At 37.4% G+C, this 19,653-nt stretch overlaps 1 protein-coding gene across 1 annotated transcript in view; it reads right to left on the reverse strand.

Annotated features, from left to right (window-relative positions):
* The window catches only part of PIGK (phosphatidylinositol glycan anchor biosynthesis class K), a 130,442-nt gene that overhangs the window by 76,643 nt on the left and 34,146 nt on the right, over nt 1-19,653 (reverse strand). Inside the window, exons 4-5 of the mRNA NM_005482.3 lie at nt 3,629-3,764; nt 1,088-1,199 (exon numbers count right to left, since the gene is read on the reverse strand). Coding sequence (NP_005473.1) covers nt 1,088-1,199; nt 3,629-3,764 — 248 coding nt within the window. The remainder of the gene's footprint in view (nt 1-1,087; nt 1,200-3,628; nt 3,765-19,653) is intronic.

The following is a 19,653-nucleotide window of genomic DNA, read 5'->3' on the forward strand; positions in this document are numbered from 1 at the left end:
ATCAATGACATCTTGGAATTCAAAATACAGTGAAGGCAACAGATACCCAAACAATAAAGTAATAGTAAGTTAAATGCTATGAAAGAAACTAAAAATTAACATGGGCATGCACAGAGGAAAGTCCAGACCAGCCAAGGAGAAGAGAAATATCTTTAGATAAGAAAAATGTAAGCTGTGTTATTCATACCAATTCTGAAGGAGAAAGCAGAAACTATTAATAATAACACTGGGACAACAGGTGTAAACTACAACTGTCCCAGGTAATTGGAAACATCAGTCACCCTAGACTTAGAAAGGAAGTCATGGAAGGGAGTGACTCCTGAGCTAAAACTAAAACCATATGGAATAATCAAGCAGGCAAAGTGGACTGAAAAGACGTCATAAGCAAATGCAAGAGCTTAAACAAATGTTTGAAGGACAGAACATTCAAGCTTGGAAGAGAATTAGAAAAAGTATTAAGAACTAAGACAAACTAAATAATATAGCTAAATCATTACATATATTATTATGTGTAATACATATGATAACTATATTATATTATGGTACACTTTATCTCCAATATTCCTCAAAGTATAATCAAAAGACTACTGTATCTCATATCTGAGGAGTATATCCACAATGCAATTTCATGAATCCCAACCCAGATGAAAATTAAGTAAGAATTCTAAAATAAGGCCTAAGTATCTACAGTTGGTAATCTTCATGTACAGCAAAATTTGAGATGGAAAACCATTATAAAGTTTTAAGCAGAAGAGGGACAGATTTGCAATTTCTATTAGACACTTTCACAGGATGATTAGCAGGAGAACAAAACTGAAGGATGCTGTAGCAGGATACCAAGCAAAAGGTGCTAAGTTTACCAAGTCAATAGTAAAAAAATATAGAGATAAGAAAATCAGGAACAGCACAAAATGTTATACTGTTTTCAGATATCATCTCAAATAGTTCTACATTATGGAAAATATAACTACATGAGAAACCATTTTAACCAAAAATCATTTCACGTGTTTAAATTTCTTTCCATTTGCCTTTCTTTTCAAAGAGTTTCAATATACTCTACTATAAAAACTCTAAATTATGAAATTACCTGTCATATAAATTAGAATATTGCTTCTGTCATCAGAAAGAAGACGTTTTGACCGAGGAGTACTAGGTGGGATCCTCCCAGTTAATACCCGTAAAAAATTCTCCACAGTTACCTAAGGGGGAAAAAACAAGAAAAATCAGATGAAATAAAACCTGGGAAATCTTGACAAATTACTTTTTACTTTCAAAAATGTTCATTGTTCTTTCTCCATATATTACTCAGCACCAACTGAAAATAAAACACCCAAAAATTATATAACTCAATTAAAATATATTCATTTAAACATATACCTCCAAGTAACTTTGTTACTATTTTTAAAAGTACTAAAAACTAACAAAGAAGGCAGGCCATGGTGGCTCATGCCTATCAACTCAGCACTTTGTGAGGCAAGGCAAGAGGACTGCTTGTGGGCAGGAGTTCAAGATCAGCCTAAGCAACATAGTGAGACCCCATTTCTATGCACACACACAAAAAATGTTTAAAATAGCCAGGTATGGTAACATGCTCCTGTAGTTCTAGCTACTCAGAAGGCTGAGGCAGAAGGCTCATTTGAGCCCAGGAGTTCACCACTGCACTCCAGCCTGGGCAAGAGAGCAAGACTATGTCTCTTAGAAAAAAACAAAAAACAAAAACAAGCAAAGTAAAACTACCTTGGAGAAAAATAAGTTCTGAATTTAAAACTTTAAATGCTATGTGAAGTGCTGCCTTTAAAAACTACTAAAAAGCTGCAAAATTATTTATCTGGCTGGGCATGATGGCTCACACCTGTAATTCCAACTTCTCAGGAGGCTGAGGCAGGAGGATCACCTGAGGCCAAGTGTTCAAAAACAGCCTGGACAACCTAGTAAGACCCCCATCTCTGGAAAAATAAAATAAATTAGCCAGGCAAGGTGGTGCACACCTGTAGTCCCTGCTACTCAGGAGGCTGAGGCAGGAGGATCACTTGAGCCCAGGAGTTCAAGGCTGCAGTGAGCTATGACATGGCCACTATACTCCTACCTGGGTGACAGAGCAAGACTCCAGCTCTAGCAAAATAAAAAATAAAAATTATTAATCCCTCTGCATAGGCAATTCTGTGGGAAGATACAAAATATAAGAATTTTTAAATAAATTCAACTACATTATTGCAGCTAATCTGTACAACTACTTAGTCAATTATAGATTAACCATGAAATAAAATAGTTCCATGTTCACTACCTGGGTGACAGGCTCAATCATACCCCAAACCTCAGCATCACACAATATACCTTTGTAACAAACCTGCACATATATCCCCTGAATTTAAAATAAAGGTTGAAAAAGAAAAAAAAAAAGTTCCATATATATTTCCCCAAAATTACGTATCTTTAATTTTTGAATGCACTTTGTTGCTCAGATTTTGTTAGTGGTATCTTTAACATGTAAAAAATTCATAACACTTTAAACGAGATTTTCCCAATCTAGAATTTCTATCCCTCTGGGATTCTTTGAAGGCATATTTAAAGTTATAGAGAGTAAAACACTGATTTAAAGCCAACAGCTGAGTCATATATTATGCATATCTACATTTAAAAAGTAGAAAATCTATCCAGTTTTCTTGTTCAACTATTTCCTAGAACATGAGTGTATAAATTGTATGTATACACATTTGTGCGTGTGTAAACTGTTTGATTTACATTTTTCCTGCAAGACAGCAAAATGCTAATTGTTTTAACAGGAATTCTTGTTGGCCAACAAGGAAGGAAAATGTTTGGCCTATATTTTCCTAAAATATGACTAAATAAACAAGTAAAAGGTTAAACATACATATTTAATTCAATGAGCCAACATTTTTGAGTGCCTAACACCAGGCTCTAGGTACTTGCCAGCTATATGATACATGAGACACAGGCCCTCTTAGCTTACAGTCTAGGAGGAGATAGATATGCTTTTAAAATTGCTTCAAAAGTGGTCTAGGAACACACAGGAAATTGTGTCTTACTTTTGGTAGGCTTGGTAAAAGGGGAAGGATTATCTAAGAAGACTTCATAAAAGAAGACTTCAAATATTAAGCGTATTCACAATCTTTTATATTTAAAATGAAGTTTCAAAGGGAGAAAATAGAGTATAATACCATTTTTTACATTTACATTTTTATTTCTTATCACATATTCATAAAAAACACTGGAAGTATATTGAAACTATAGTCACTATAGTTTTTCCACAATTAATACAATTACTAAAACTAATAAACTTGGAATTTTAGGTCAAATATGAAAAATACACATTTACTATAAAATATATTTACTGTAAAAGAAAGTTGACACAGGAAAACTCACTATAATACTCTAACATTGAAGCCAATATAAAGTTTTTCTGTCCTAGATAAAAACATAAAATGTTCATGTTTTAATATTTTACTTATATATCATTGCCTTAATATGAACTTCAGAGAAGTTACATCAAGGCTTCAGTGACAATTAAATTTAAAGAAAAATAATAAGACAATTTTATTCTGCCATTGTTTTAGAGCCTAAAAGTAACAATGCCATTTTAAAAATGTGGCTAGATTAAAGAATTTACCTCGTAACTTCTATAATCCACTTCCACATCATCTCCATACACATTTAGTTCCATATTCTTGTGACTAAACACTGTAGCTGGTTTGGGATTTCTAGGATTACAGGCCATATCATCTGCAAGCATTAGGACAATGTGACTAGGGAAAAAAAATCCAGTAAATATATAATTTAGATAAAAGGAAAAAGTTAAACACAAATTTATTTATATCATGTAGCTACTGTGTTCATTTTTCTCCTCCTTAAAAAAAAATTTTCAACTACATAGTTGAAGGCAATTTAATTATTTTTTTCATATCCTTGTGTACTATATATTTTAAAGTAGAGAAATTAGTGCAATCTGGCATAAAGTTATGAAGGCACTTTAATTATTTTTTTCATATCCTTGTGTGCGATACATTTTAAAGTAGAGAAATTGGCGCAATCTGGCATAAACTTATGAACAGAATTTCAAGTTACAATGTTTTTCTGAACAATGTATACTTTATGCCACATAGCAAAGGGAAGCTAAAGAAACTGTCTTCCTTAAGCATCAAAAATATTTTTTAGTAAAATTTTACATTCTCAAGACTTACAGAGTCCACGTTAAACTATGATGTCCCAAAGAATTTAACTTTCAGAATCCCAAATGCTTGAGTATAAAAACATGCAACTGATCAGCAAGTACAATCAGTTTAGCACAAGAGCACACCTCCAAGCCAATCACTCCTCACAAGATCCACAAATCCACTCCATTTCCCTAACACCAGCAACCACCATCTTCTGGCTAGATGCTGGAATAGCTCCCTACCTGGCATCCTGCTTCTACTCTCACCCTCTTTCAGTTCATTCTCCTAATAGCCCCCAGAGTGATCTTCCTTAAATAAGTCAAATTATTAAATGTTCCCACTTAAAAGTTTCCAAGGACTCCCCATTATATCTTTTTTTATTTTTATTTTTGTTCACCTGCAGTTCCATGCATCCCCATTGCATTTAGAGAGAAACTGCAACTCCTTACATCATCTAAAAGGCTCATATAATCTGGTCTCTGTCTCTCCAACTTCAGCCTCTACCACCCACATTCTCTATGCTACCTCCACACTGGCCTTTCTGTTCTTAGAATATGCCAAGCCTTTCCCACTTAAGTGGCTACTGACCAAATTTAGACTTCACTCCTCCCAGATCTTCATATAATTCCAGCCTTAGCTATGGTACTCTATCTTATTGTGTGTTTTATTTTCTTCAGGACATCTATGAATCTGAAATCCCCATCATCTCCTATCACCACCACCCCCATTAGGATATAAGCTCTCTGAGGGCAGGGGCTATATCTGTCCTGTTCACCACTGTATCACTCATACTACATACTAGGGCCTGACATACAGTATGTACTCAGTAAATAATTTTAAGTGAATGAAATGTTTTAATTTTTGCATATAATTTCTTTAGAAGGAAATAAAATCTCTCTTTGATACTTCTCATCTTCACTCTACCATTAAAACTGGTGAGTAACAATCAGGAAATTCTCCATTCTACCATATCTTGAGTTTCCCAAGCATAAGGGAAAAATTAATGTGGCATACGTAATTAGTTTGGCAGGAGACAGCAAGAAGAAAATGTTCTGCTACATATGTTCCAAATACATTAAAGTTCAAAACTGAAACATTATTTTTCTTGAAAATTGGCTAGATTTCTACTTTGAAAGTGTTCCAACCCTGTCACGTTCAAAGATCAGATCTTCAGCTGTTACTGATTCATTTTCACAGAATAGTGAGTCATTCCTCTTAAAACAGAAAATACATCTTCTCTTTTTTAAAACTTGAGATCATTAATTTACATTAAATAAATATCAATCATATATTCCTTTGTTAAACAAGACTGAATTGACCTCCAAATGGCAATATAAAAATGAATATTTCTGGCCAGGCACAGTGGCTCACGCCTGTAATCCCAGCACTTTGGGAGGCTGAGGCGGGCGGATCACGAGGTCAGGAGATCGAGACCATCCTGGTTAACACAGTGAAACCCTGTCTCTACTAAAAATACAAAAAAATTAGCCGGGCATGGTGGCAGGCGCCTGTAGTCCCAGCTACTCCAGAGGCTGAGGCAGGAGAATGGCATGAACCCAGGAGGCGGAGCTCGCAGTGAGCCGACATCGCGTCACTGCACTCCAGCCTGGGCAACAGAGCAAGACTCCACCTCAAAAAAAAAAAAAAAAAAAAAAAAAAAGAATATTTCTTTAGGCTATGTTTTCTGTTTAGGGTTAATTTCACTCTGTGAAACTAAATAATTATTCAATAGCTATATAATGTCAATATCAATCAGAAAGAAGTACTAACTTCAACTTAAAATCATAAATGTAATCAACATTTCTCTTAGAGATAATTTTAAGCCTCAATATAAGTACTATGACCTGTTAACATAATCAATATATTATAAAACACTGTACTTGGAATAATACGGAAAAAGAGAAGTTGGGAAACAGAATGGATTTCAAACGTTTTGAAGTCCAACCACATATTCTAATTCACTGTTTCTAAAACTTAAGAAATGTACAGAACTCTTTTCTAGAGAAAAAAATAATTCTCATTTGATCCAAGTGTTAAATTATTTATATAACAGTACTTAAGCATATAAATGCAAACAAACTACGTAGGCTTATAGTTCTTACAAAACTATGAAATCAAGAGAAAATTATAAATTAAATTCTAACAAAACTAGCAAACTAATAATACCCTAAAAACATTAATCCCATTGAAGATGACATTATTTTCCAAAAACTAAATGCCTGCTGCTGTGTTTAACAGAAGAGCTTCAAGTCTGGTTCTACATTTAATTTTTTTTTTTTTTTTTTTTGTATTTTGACATCCTTAATTGTTTAAGCAAACTAAAACGGCCTGATAAGGACTCCATACTTCCATATTTGAGTCCTGGTGGACAAACCACAACCTAACTTAATAGGTAGACAAGATTGAAAACCCAATTTAGGAGTATGCACCTGTAACAATGACTGAGTCTTGGCCAATCCCAGCAGCCATACTTCAACCACCCATATACTGCCAAGTGCTCAAACTGTGTTCAAATAAGTAAAATGCCAACCTGTAACCAATCCAGTTGTTTCTGTATCTCACTTCCAATTTCTGTACCTCACTTCGCTTTTTTTGTCTCTAATCTTCTTCCGCCATGTGGCTGCATTGGAGTCTCTCTGAATCTGCTGTGATTCTGGGGGCTTGCCAATTAGTGAATTGACAGCAACTGACCTGGGTGCAGGATCAAATTTGATCCAGTAATTAACTGACTTGAATCCAGTTAGAGGCTTCTTACATCTGAATGGGTCAGAAAGAAACTGGTAGTAAGTGGTAATATTGCAGGGGCTATAAAATTTGGCTTTTAAAAATTCGCAGGGGCCAGGGGTGGTGTGGCTCACACCTGTAATGCCAGCATGTTGGGAGGTGGAGGAGGGTGGATCACGAGGTCAGGAGATTGAGACCATCCTGGCTAACACGGTGAAACCCCGTCTCTACAAAAAATACAAAAAAATTAGCCGGGCGTGATGGCAGGTGCCTGTACTCCCAGCTACTCGGGAGGCTGAGGAAAGAGAATGGCATGAACCTGGGAGGTGGAGATTGCAATGAGCCGAGATCACGCCACTGCACTCCAGCCTGGGCGACAGAGCGAGACTCCGCCTCAGAAAAAAATAATAATAATAATAAATTTGCAGGGATTTTTGTGTTCTACCCCTTTGTTTCATTTTTCTCGTGCACTTAGGTAGGAAAAGAAATCATTGGCTAAGTTAATCAAGGGAACCCAAGAGCAAAGCCAATATTTTTGGTAAAAATGAGATTCTTAATTTCTGAAGAACTGAGTTCCTTCTGGCTTATACATGCATAAATAAGTGTTAGGCCCCAGAAGCAGTGAAGTCTTACAGAAATGGTGAGATCTTACTAAAGATAACTTACAATAGAACATTCCAAATGAACAACGCAGTGAAATGCATTTAAAACAATGAGGCTCCCAAATTAGTCTCATCTACGGATGCCTACTGATATGCAGAAACTTCTAAAAAGATTTCAATATTTTTATTTAAAGCACACATATTTTACTCTGGCCAGAATGGAAAATATTAGAATTCGGGTCCCCCATACAACTGGTTGGGCAGCAACTTGCAAAATTGAGATAATTTTGCCTGTGGTTCCATTATTTTCCTTTGTGATGCAGTTTGGCCCCCAGAACTATGGTGTGGTAAGCAGGGTCACTGAGGCTACTCAGGGAAGGGGAACCCAGAAACCTGACAAGCCAGCAAAAGGGCAAGAATTTCTTACCAGACTTCTGGCCTCTCTCTGTGCAAACTGGTTAAATGAATGGTAAAAATCACTGTTTAGTTCCTCTGTAAAGTTTTAATTAATGCAAAAAAAGGATTCTGAGGCTATTCTTAAGCTGTAGCAAATTTGGTGTCCTTGTCTTTCTGTATGGTTCTGTTATAAAGAGTACTTTAGGAATATAACATAGGCTTAGGACCCCATAAGCTCACTATTAAAGACGGCCCAGCAAGCTGGTCAATAACAAACGTTGCTGCAGTTCCCTGAAACAAACAAAAAAACTGCCTGAGGTCTCCATCTTGTTTTGTCCTTGGGAGCTTAACTGTGTAATCATGTGGTGGTACTTTCTCTTAGTCTCCACCTTCCAGGGAAAAGGAATTTTGGGGTTCATGTCATAGCTAGCTCCGAAAATTATCTTGAGCAGTTAAAAGCCTTTGCAAACTCAAAATTGACTGCTCTAGACTTCTAGGAAGAGCAATGGAAGCTATCCAATATAGCTCAGTAGCTAAGGCCTTGCCTTTTTACAATGGTGGCCTGAGTTCAATTCCTGGCTTAGGGAACGAGTCCTTTCTGGTTTGATATCTGTATGAAACTTACCATCTGTTGATTCTCTTCCCCTCCATAAACTGTATTACAATTTTCTTTCTCTAAGCGAGAAATATTGGCTGTTTTGCCTGGCTAAAGTGGGGTAGTAAGAAATTTAAAAGGACTTTTATAGAGGGCTAGAGTTAAAAGTCAGCTTAATTAAAAGTGGATATTCAAGCTCTAACAGCCTGGGACTCCTTGGGAAAAGCAGAGGAGGCACCACACACCGTGTTTTGGGAAAAACCTCTGTTTTCCTCAAGAAACCTCAGGAATTAAAAGTGGATAGATCCCTCTCAAAATCTAAGACTCTGTTCTGTTTTGTATTGCTTTATCTGATGTTTCCGACTTTGGGGAGTATCGGAAATGACTTTGCATCACAAGACAGCTTTGGTGTGTAATAATCAGGTAGGAAATATACTTTTAGGGATAGCTAATGGCAGTTATGGGGAGATACTCAGCTCTGCACATTTGGATCAGAGAAAGCATGCTCTTGGCCACCTAGAAGTTATGGAAATGTCCCCACCCACCACTAAGAGATAAGACACCCATGGGAGCTTGGCTGATTCCCCCTTTATGGGATCCAGGATCTGATATAAAAATGAGAATGAGACCCTTAATTTCTGAGATCTATTTTTCCTTCCAGCTGTGCCTGCTTATTATATTAATCTGTAGAAACTGCATGTTCCTGGCCCTGTTCCTCCAAGGACTCCACTCTAAAGCCAGTAATCCGATTAAAAACCTTAAAAACTGGCAAATAAAAAATCTTACAACTACTGGATCTTCTTCTGTCTATCTGTATAGTTATGTATGCGTTCTGTGTGTGATGTTTCTATAAAAGAGCTCTAATTAATTGGCTTGAAGAAAAATAGGACCTTAAATCAAATATTTGAAAGAAGAAACCATAAAGCTTTTTAGTTCACGTAACTTTAGTAATCTTTGGGAAATAAAAAATTTTAAAGATTATTGGTAAAATAAAGACATTTGTTCTTAATCAGGCAGGTCAGATATTAGGTTTGCTAAATGCTTTAAGGTCATAAACTGCTTTGACTTTTGAAAATTGTTCAATTTACCTATCTTGGAAATGATAGATTCTAGATAAGGCCTGGGGAAATGTGGAATCAGCCACGTCCTCTAGCTATGCAAAGAAGGTTATAAAGAAAAGAGATTTTATATAAGAAAGGATCCTGTATGGTAAATTCTTGTCCTGAAGTAAAATAACTGGTTGGTTAAAAACAGGGATGCTTAGGACAAGTCAGAAAGTCCAAGCATGACGTAGGTGGTCTGTGTAAGTCATGAAAGGATTCATGAAAGGAAATTTATGCACCAAAAGTAAACGCTGCTAAGAGTTACTATTATAACATGTAATTGAGACTACTGAAATAACAGTTTTACATGCAAGGTGTATAAGGAAAGTAAAATTTGTTTTTGGTAAAAAAAAATTATAAGAAAGCATGAGAATGTAAATTTTTGCCTAGTGTAGAGGGTTAACAGATTGTTTTAAATTAGATAAGACAAAGCTAAATGTTGAGCAAGTTGTGGAAGGTTTGTAAAAATTAATTGTAAAAGAGATTCTGTGTGTAAACATATTGGCTACAGTTAAAGGGATATTATTCAGTTTTTACATAAAGTGAACATTTAAAAAAAAGCACAATAGGTTTTTCTTAGAGCACTGATCTGCTCTTTAACAAAAATTCTAAAGAGTTATAAAAGGTTTGTAAGAATCTCACCTTATGGCCAAACTGATTAAGATTGATAAATTTTTCTATAAAGTTTTATTAAAAATTGAGGTTGACATTAATAGTAGACTTATGAAAGGGTGAAATTTGGCTCTCCCTGAACAAGATTTTCATGTAATATTAAAGGATAATAAAAAAATTTTGTTTGCCTTTTGAATAAACTAGGAAAAAAAGAAGGGAAAGACAAAAGACAGATGGTTTGGAAAGCTAAGTCTCCCCTCTATCAATGAGTAAAAGGTTTTTGCCTTTTTAGAAATTCTTCATCATTTTGGCTAAATGAATGACTATGGTGTCCAGTAATTCTATTTCATATCAAGTGTTTAAAACTCTAACATGTTTGATAGGCTTCCTAAAATCAAATTTCAGCTTCAAAATTATCTTTTCTGACCTCTAACTTTGGGATGCTACAGAGGGCCCCTGAAGAATCCAAAAGACAGGTAAACAGGATTATTTGACATGTTATTTGGGAAGCACTGTAAAAATAAAAAATAATGCTTAACCTTCTTTAGGTTATATTTTAGTGTATGTCATCAATATGTTCCAATATTGCATGGGATTTCTAAAATTCTAATATGTCTAAGTAATGCTATCAATCATAATTATGGTTATTATGTTATTATAGACCACAGAAATTGTCCTTGTCAGCTGTGTTTTTAACTATGACTATTTAAAGTCACTTCCAGTTAATTGCTTAATGCTCCTGCAGTTTCTCAAAACTTGACAAGCACACAAAATCCTAGAATATGGTGTCTTTTAGGAGGTTCATGAAAGGATGGAAAGAACCTGAAAAGCACTCTTGAATACAGGTTCCTGATAACATAAGTCAAATTACCTATGATAACCCATCAGTTAGTTATCAGTGCTATACACCTAAATTGGAAAAAACAACTGGCATTCAAGATGACATAAGTCCAATGTCAAGCATGGACTCTTGGAGAACCAGAACAGCCACCTTGTCCTTCCTGAGTCCTTAAAGTTTTTGTTATTAAAAGTTATGCATTCCAAAACATCATGGAAAAGAGAAAATAATTCAAATTAAATATTGGTGTGGTAACTTACAAATTGCTAAAATAGTTTATAACCAATGTTTGGTTTGTCAAACCCATATTCATGGGAAAACAATCAAAGCTTCAGCTCCATTTGGTTACCTGACGGTAACCAGATGGTTGGGCCACTTAAACATTTTATAAAGGGATTTCATTCAATTGTCATTTTCAATGCATGTTTTCTGGTTGTATAAAAGCTCTCCCATCCAAGTGGGCTGACGTTATAATGTAGACTATTATGCTACAGTGTATTTTCACCAGGTAAAGAAAGCTTTTTATGGTTCACTGAGGACAGTCAACCCCTTCTGTTGGGAATAGGCCCCCAAATCTGCCATAAACTGGCACCAAAACTGGCCATAAACAAAATCTCTGCAGCATTGTGACATGTCTTGAGATGGCCATGATGCCCACACTGGAAGGTTGTGGGTTTACCAGAATAAGGGCAAGGAACACCAGGCCCACCCAGGGCAGAAAGCCGCTTAAAGGCGTTCTTAAACCACAAACAATAGCATGAGCAATCTGTGCCTTAAGGACATGCTCCTGCTGCAGATAACTAGCCAAAGCCCATCCCTTTACTTCGGTCCATCCCTTTGTTTCCTGTAAGGAATACTTTTAGTTAATCTATAATCTATAAAAACAATGCTTATCACTCCTTGCTCTCAATAAATATGTGGGTAAATCTCTGTTCGAGGCTCTCAGCTCTGAAGGCTGTGAGACCCCTGATTTCCCACTCCACACCTCTATATTTCTGTGTGTGTGCCTTTAATTCCTCTAGCGCCGCTGAGTTAGGATCTCCCCGACTGAGCTGGTCTCGGCACCCTTCTGTCTAGAACCCAAAGACTGGATCTTCTGAAAACATCAGAGAAACACTGCCCACACCATCCACACTGCAACAAAACTTTGGAACCTTGAACTTTGGATTCATAATCTCACAACTGGGAAAGATTCCTCCACACTCTTAGAACTGTACACCCATTTGGACCCTTAAGGTAAAGCTAACCAGGAAAGTTTCTCCCCAGAAGAAGATGGCATCTTTTCCCAAGATGACAGCTTTTCCCAAGATCACGAATCAAGACTTCTCTACTATCATGACACTCTTATCTTTGAATGTTTTTTCCTTGTTTATGCCTCTATGAACAATAGAAATAAAAAGGGGGTCTCTTGTGTGCACTTTGGGTATACTTTTATTTATGAAGGATTTTGCAGCCAGTCTTATATACAGATAAACTTATGCCTTGACAGATAAAAAATGAAGGCCCAATGTACACGATAAACTTTAATGGTATATACATTGCCTCATAATCAGTCAGAAACAGACCATTGGTTCATTCCTCTTAACCCACATCACAGGTTAAAGAGAACATTGCCAGGAGGCCTTCATACTTCTAGAAGGGCATCATTTGTTAGGTCCTTTTTCCATGGTTTGGAGTAAAAACGGCAATGATTAGAAGTGTATCCTTAATGATAGGCTCTATAGCAGATTCTACTGTAATATGTATAGTTACACAACAGACTTTAAATTCTCTTATGAAAGGTATGCTAAATAACACAATTGGCTACACAGAAAAGTATCTCTGCAGCTGCTGGCATTTGTGGTCTAGGAGAAATACATCAAACGTAGATTATAGAGATTCAGTTTTAGGGCATTAACGGAGAGACTGCTTAGTTAAGTGAGTAGACTCTTTATCTAGCTCATTCTTTAATCTATTTGATTTTAGGTGATTTGGTTTATGGGGACCCTGGGTAAGGAGCATATTCCAAACTCTTCATATTGTCCTCCTGATAGTCATAATAATAGTCTCCTTGGTGCGCTATATTTTCTCAAAGGTTTTAAATGTTTACAAGTCAGCCATCTCTAAAATGTCAAATGGTCTCTCTTCAACTGGAATGACAAGAGCTGAAAGAAATGTGTGACCATGAGGACACCGTAACCTATGACTGACATGCTGAGACCAGAAACCCAAAATGATGGTAACTGAGAGTGGCACTAATGCCGTAAGTTTTGGTCACACTCTCACCTAAGTGAGAACCTGACTAAAAAGGGGAAATTTTTTTAAAAGTTATGGGTGGCCACTGTTTTGGACTGAGATCATGCGCTAGGCCCCAACAGACCACAAAAAATGGAGCTGCTTGTGCTAAATGGGACAATAAAACTAAGACTTTAAGGAAACACACAAATCCTAGAACAGACCAGGTTTGTTTTCCTCCTGTTAACAAGACGTTCCAACATCAGGAGGTACCCTCTACTCAGTCCTTGGTCCTACCTTTGCAAAACTCACTGTTCTACTGTTTCCCAGTGGGTTTCAAGACCAAATAAGTACATTTATGATAGTGACAGTGACATTAATGATTAAAGTTTTGGTCAATCTCTCAAAATTGAGAAAATAACCAAAAGGGGGGAATTGGTAAAGTGAACTAAATGTGGTCTGAGAAGGACTCTGCTACATTTGAGTCCTTGTGGACAAACTGCAACCTAACTTAATAGGTAGACAACACTGAAAACCTAATTTAGGAGTATGCTCCTGTAACAATAGCTGAGTCTTGACCAATCCCAGGAGCCATACTTCACTCTTATACTGCTGAGTGCTCAAACTGTGTTCAAATAAGGCAAACGCTGAGCTGTAACCAATCCAGTTGTTCCTGTTCCCATTTCCAATTTCTGTACTTCCTTTCCCTTTTTTTTCTCTATAAATATTCTTCCACCACATGGCTGCACTGGAGTCTCTCAGAATCTACTGTGATTCTGGGGGCTGCCTGATTCATGAATCGCTCATTGCTCAATTAAACTCCTTTAAATTTAATTTGGCTGAAGTTTTTCTTTTAATACACTATAAACATAATTTGATGATATAGATAATGTCTGTTCATAAAAGTATGTTGTACACTATGTAATTCATAATTTCCAGGTTCTGTTTACTGTTCAGAACAATCAGATATTATATTTACATAAGCTTTTGCCAATAAACATTCTTTGAATGCCATTTATCATAAGGTCTCATTTGATAACTCAAAGTGTCTTTTTCACTTGAATACCAGGTCAGCATCACAGCAGTTATTTAAATCTGCACTGAATAAGCATCAAGTCAATCACTGCTGAAATCAAGACTCAAAAAAAGAAGCTACTCTAAAGACATACTACTGCATTCCTATAAATAACAGTAACAAGTTTTTGTATCTTATTAAAATGATAAAATTCCCAAAATATCCCCAATAGATACAAGAATATGTTGTTTTTATAGTTTGGCAACCCTATTCTACCATGCATGATGATTCAACTCACACTTTATTCTTTTCAAGCCCCTGCAAAACCTATTTCACAAAACACAGCATACATAATATGACCTTCTCTCAACACAAAGCCAAAAGAAAAAGTGGGCACTGGAATTGTATAGCAAGTGTAGTTACACAGTAGTTATTTATGTAAATAGATTCCACATTTTCAAAATCATGCATTCCTATTAGTTAAAAAAAATGGGAGGGCACATACATATACATCTACTTATTTATAAGTCATACATATTTACTACTTTAAGTATATACAATAAATACTAGTGAAGTGTGAACCCCCAAAATATGAGACAGGTCTCAGTCAGTTTAGGAAGTTTATTTTGCCAAAGTTAAGGACACGTGCCCAGGACACAGCCTCAGGAGGTCCTACCAACATGTACCTAAGGTGGTTAGAGCACAAGTTGGTTTTTATATATTTTAGGGAAACATAAGACATCAATCAACATATGTAAGATCAACATTGGTTCCGTGGGTAGGGAAAGGCAGGACAACTAGAAGTGGGTGGGGGTGGGGGGGGCTTCCAGGTCATAGGTAGATAAGAGACAAATGGTTGCATTCTTCTGAGTTTCTGATTAGCCTTTCCAAAGGAGGCAATCAGATATAGATTTATCTCAGCGAGCAGAGGGGTGACTTTGAATAGAATGGGAGGCAGGTTTGCCCTAAGCAGTTCCCAGCTTGACTTTTCCCTTTAGCTTAAGTGATTTTGGGGCCCCAAGATTTATTTTCCTTTCACAGAAGCATAATTTCTTTCTTCTTTCCTAGATAAAAACAAAGAAAACTGCTAATATTTTCTTCCCTTACCACTTTTTGGTTACTTCATCTAAATAGAATATCTGGATCATGCCTATATAGATATTTTTAAGATCATCATCAATATAAAAGTGAAATTTTAAAAATTCTCAAAAAAAGTAGTCAGGAAGCCCAATCTGATAAACATATATGAAGGGAAAAATAGCCTAAAATAATAATTTCCCATTATTATGTTGCCCAAACACTGAAAAACCAGGTAAGCCCTTCATCAGGGCTGCTAGGCCATTCTTTACCTGCCTCCCTGAAATTCCTCTGCAGCCCAATCAGGAACTAGTGACCGGTAGGTAAAAAAAATATACATATTTCAAATAGATGAACAATCTTTCACAGTCCTGGACCATTAGAGTGTGAAATTTCAAAAAACACAACTTTTCGTTTGTAATAAACTGGTATTACCTTAATAAAAAATTTTCACGGAATGAAATTTAAATAAATTGTATTGGTTAAAATGTTTTTAAACTGTTCGCTTAAAAATGTTATATATAATAATATATAATGTTTTCCACAGCCATGCCTAATCACATACTACCTTAGAGCATTGTTTAGCTACTAGAGCTAAGATCTTCAGGCTTATCTTCCAGAAAAGCATCATCCCAAGCTAGAATAGTAACTGAAATTAACACAGCAGGAAATATGAGGGTCACAGGAATCTCTGATGCCCTCTTAAATTTCTGGGTTTCTGCCTCATAGGTGTTGCTTTTCCCCCTGACACAAATTATTAAGGATACTCTGTAGATTACTGGTTCTACAGCAATGTAATTAGGTCAAGCAAATTCAACAAGTCAAGCTAATCAGCAGCTTAATGCCAGGGTAAATTACCTTTTGGTTTTTCTTCCTCCTCCCTTCCCATGTCTTGAGGAATCTTCAAGTTAATAACTCTAGCCACCAATGCACTGTGAAATTCATCGTAATAAATCTACTAACCACAGATGCTTGACCATCAAGATTTTCTGAATTACTTTCAATTTGCCAAATGTTGAACAATTAGCATTCTTCGATACATGATTCCAGGTATTCTGTACTCATATTATCAGAAATAAAAACTGAAAAAATTGCACTGCAGACAATTACTGACAGACTCATCAGTAAGCAGACATGTTATCACAGAGACAAATTACATGAGGGTAGAGCTAGCTAGCTATAGGCTCATATATTTAAAGTTACATGTGGTTGAATATAACGAAGATAACAGCTAACATTTATTGAGCACTCCTGTGATGGTTACAACTGAGAGTCAACTTGATTAGATTGCGCAAGGGCAGGAAGCATCCAGCAGGGGAGAAAGATGTAGTATTGGAGGCTAGGCCAAGCTAGTCTTTTCACATTATTCTGCCTTCTTTATATTCTAGCCATACTGGCAGCTGCTTAGATGGTGCCCACCCAGATTAAGGGTGGGTCTGCCTTTCCCAGCCTCAAATGTTAATTCAAAAGTTAAACCAAAGGGTTAATCTCCTCTGGAAACACCCTCGCAGACACACCCAGGATCAATCTATCTATCTATCTATCTGTACACACACACACACACACACACATATGTGAGTTTATTAAGTGTTATATATATTTGCATACTATTAGTTCTATCCCTCTAGAGAACCTTGACTAGTATAGATTTTGGTACGAGGAGTGATCCTAGAGGAACAGAATATTAAGGATGGAGTTCTTTCATTGGTTTTGGGGTTTCTGGATTTGGCTGCTTAATATGATCAGTCCCCAAAATGCTAAGGACTCTACTTCTAATAGTATGGAGAACACTGATAGTCCTTAGCATAAACTATTGTGACAGTTATGCAAAATAAATTCATTTGACACACCTGATTCCCTGCTCATGAGAGACAAGGAGTTTAGTAACTCTATACATAATACCTTTGACCATATCTGGAGAACCAAGGAACATAATGAAGCTGGTTGGTTGCTCCTAAGCTTGGTGGACAAAGTGATAAAAAAATGATGAACTCAGGGATTCTGTCTCCCGGCTTCAGATACTGAGCCTCCCATCTGCTAAGATTGCCCTGACTGAGAGTCTTATCTCCTGTAGAGAAAGAGTTGAAATTGTGGAAAAACAGACACAAGTTCTTATCATGCAAGTGGCTGACCTGTAATGAAAAATGCATGGACAGCCTCACTAGGCGTCTATTGTTAAACTGAGGGCATTGATTGGAAAAGAATGAGACCCTGCAACTTGGAATGGGAACATATGGAGGACCCAGATGAAGCTGGGGTCACTGAGTTTGTAAACTCTGATGAACCTTTTCTGCCAGAAGAAACAGCTTCCCCATCCCCAGCAGTGGCAACATCCCCTCTCCGACCCATGCTGCCATAAGCCTTTCCACCTTTGTCTGAGGAGATAAATCCTATGCTGCCTGAGGCAACAGTAACGGCCTCCCCTGAGGCAGTTGTTAGGCAAAATAATGTTGATTCTCCTCAGGAGCCACCTCCAACACCCCTGTTTGCTTTCAGATCTATAACAAGTCCTGGCAGGCCCCTACAGGTGAGGTTCAGAGTGTGACCCATGAGGAGGTGCACTACACTTGAAGTGCTTGAGTTTTCTAATTTTTATAAACAGAAATCTGGAGAACAGGCATGGGAATGGATATTAAGGGTGTGGGATAATGGTTGAAGGAACATAGAGTTAGATCAGGCTAAATTTATTGACTTGGGCCCACTAAGTAGGGACTCTGCATTTAATGTTGCACCTCGAGGAGGGGGAGTTCTAATCGTTTATTTGCTTGATTAGCTGAAATATGGATTAAAAGATGGCCCACTGTGAGAGGTGGAAATGCCTGATCTCCCTTGGTTTAATGTAGAGAAAGGGACCCAAAGGATTAGGGAGATTGGGATAGTGGAGTGGATTAGTCACTTTAGACCTATTCATCCCAGCAGAGAGGATCCAGAAGATATATCCTTGACCAATGCCTTGCGAAATAGATTTCTGAGGGCAGCAACTGCATTTTTGAAGAGCCCTGTTATTGCTCTTCTCTGTATGTCAGATCTGACAGTGGGAACCGCAGTTGCTCAACTACAAAATTTAAATACAGTGGAAATAATGGGATCCCAAGGTGGCAAGGGCCAAGTGGCATCACTCAGCTGTCAAAGGAAAGGTAGGCATAGCTACTCTAATGGACAGCAAAGGCAAAGTGGCAATCAGAATATTCTAACTGGTGTAGAGCTCTGGCACTGGCTAATTAATCACGGTGCTCCTAGAAGTGAAATTGACAGGAAGCCTACTGCATTCCTACTTAATTTAACAAGCAGAAAACTTCGAGGTCAAATGGACAAAAGACTGATTTGAATTACAAAAACAGAGAATCATGGCCCCTCAATCAATTTGCAGACTTGAGCCAGTTTACAGATCCAGAATCCCTGGGATGAAGGGGAGGTCAGGTCCCCTTGAGGAAGGACCCCACTACATAACCAACAGCTTATGCAGTGAATCTTTCTCCCATCCTTCCCACAAGAAAACCTCCAGCCCTTTACCAGAGTAACTGTGCACTGCGGAAAGGGAAATGATCAGACATTTCAGGAACTACTGGACACTGGCTCTGAGCTAACATTGATTCCAAGGGACTCAAAACATCATTGTGGTCCTCCAGTTAAAGTAGGGGCTCATGGAGGACAGGTAATTAATGGGGTTTTAGCTCAGGTCCAACTTACAGTGTGTCCAGTGGATCCCCAGACTCATCTTGTGGTCATTTCCCCAGTGCCAGAATGCAAAATTGGCACAGACATTCTTAACAGCTGGCAGAACCCCCATATTGGCTCCTTGACTGGTAGGGTGAGCACTATTACAGTGGGAAAGACCAAATGGAAGCCATTAGAGCTGCCTCTACCTATAAAAATAGTAAAGCAAAAACAGTATCACATCCTGGAGGGACTGTGGAGATCAGTGCCACCATCAAGGACTTGAAAGATGCAGGGGTGGTGAGTCCTACCACATCCCTGTTCAACTCTCCCACCTGGCCTGGGCAGAAGACAGATGGATCTTGGAGAATGACAGCAGATTATCATAAACTTAACCAAGTGGCGACTCCAATTACAGCTGCTGTTCCCGATGTGGTTTCATTGCTTGAGCAAATTAACACATCTCCTGGTACCTGGTATGTAGCCACTGATTCGGCAAATACCTTTTTCTCCATGCCTGTCTACAAGGCCCACCAGAAGCAACTTGCCTTCAGCTGGCAAGGCCAGCAATATACCTTTACTGTCCTGCCTCAGGGGTATATCAACTCTCTAGTTTTGTGTCATAATCTTATTTAGAGAGACCTTGAT

The sequence above is a fragment of the Homo sapiens genome, chromosome 1 (assembly GCF_000001405.40).
Source record: "Homo sapiens chromosome 1, GRCh38.p14 Primary Assembly".
Taxonomy (NCBI): Eukaryota; Metazoa; Chordata; class Mammalia; order Primates; family Hominidae; genus Homo; species Homo sapiens.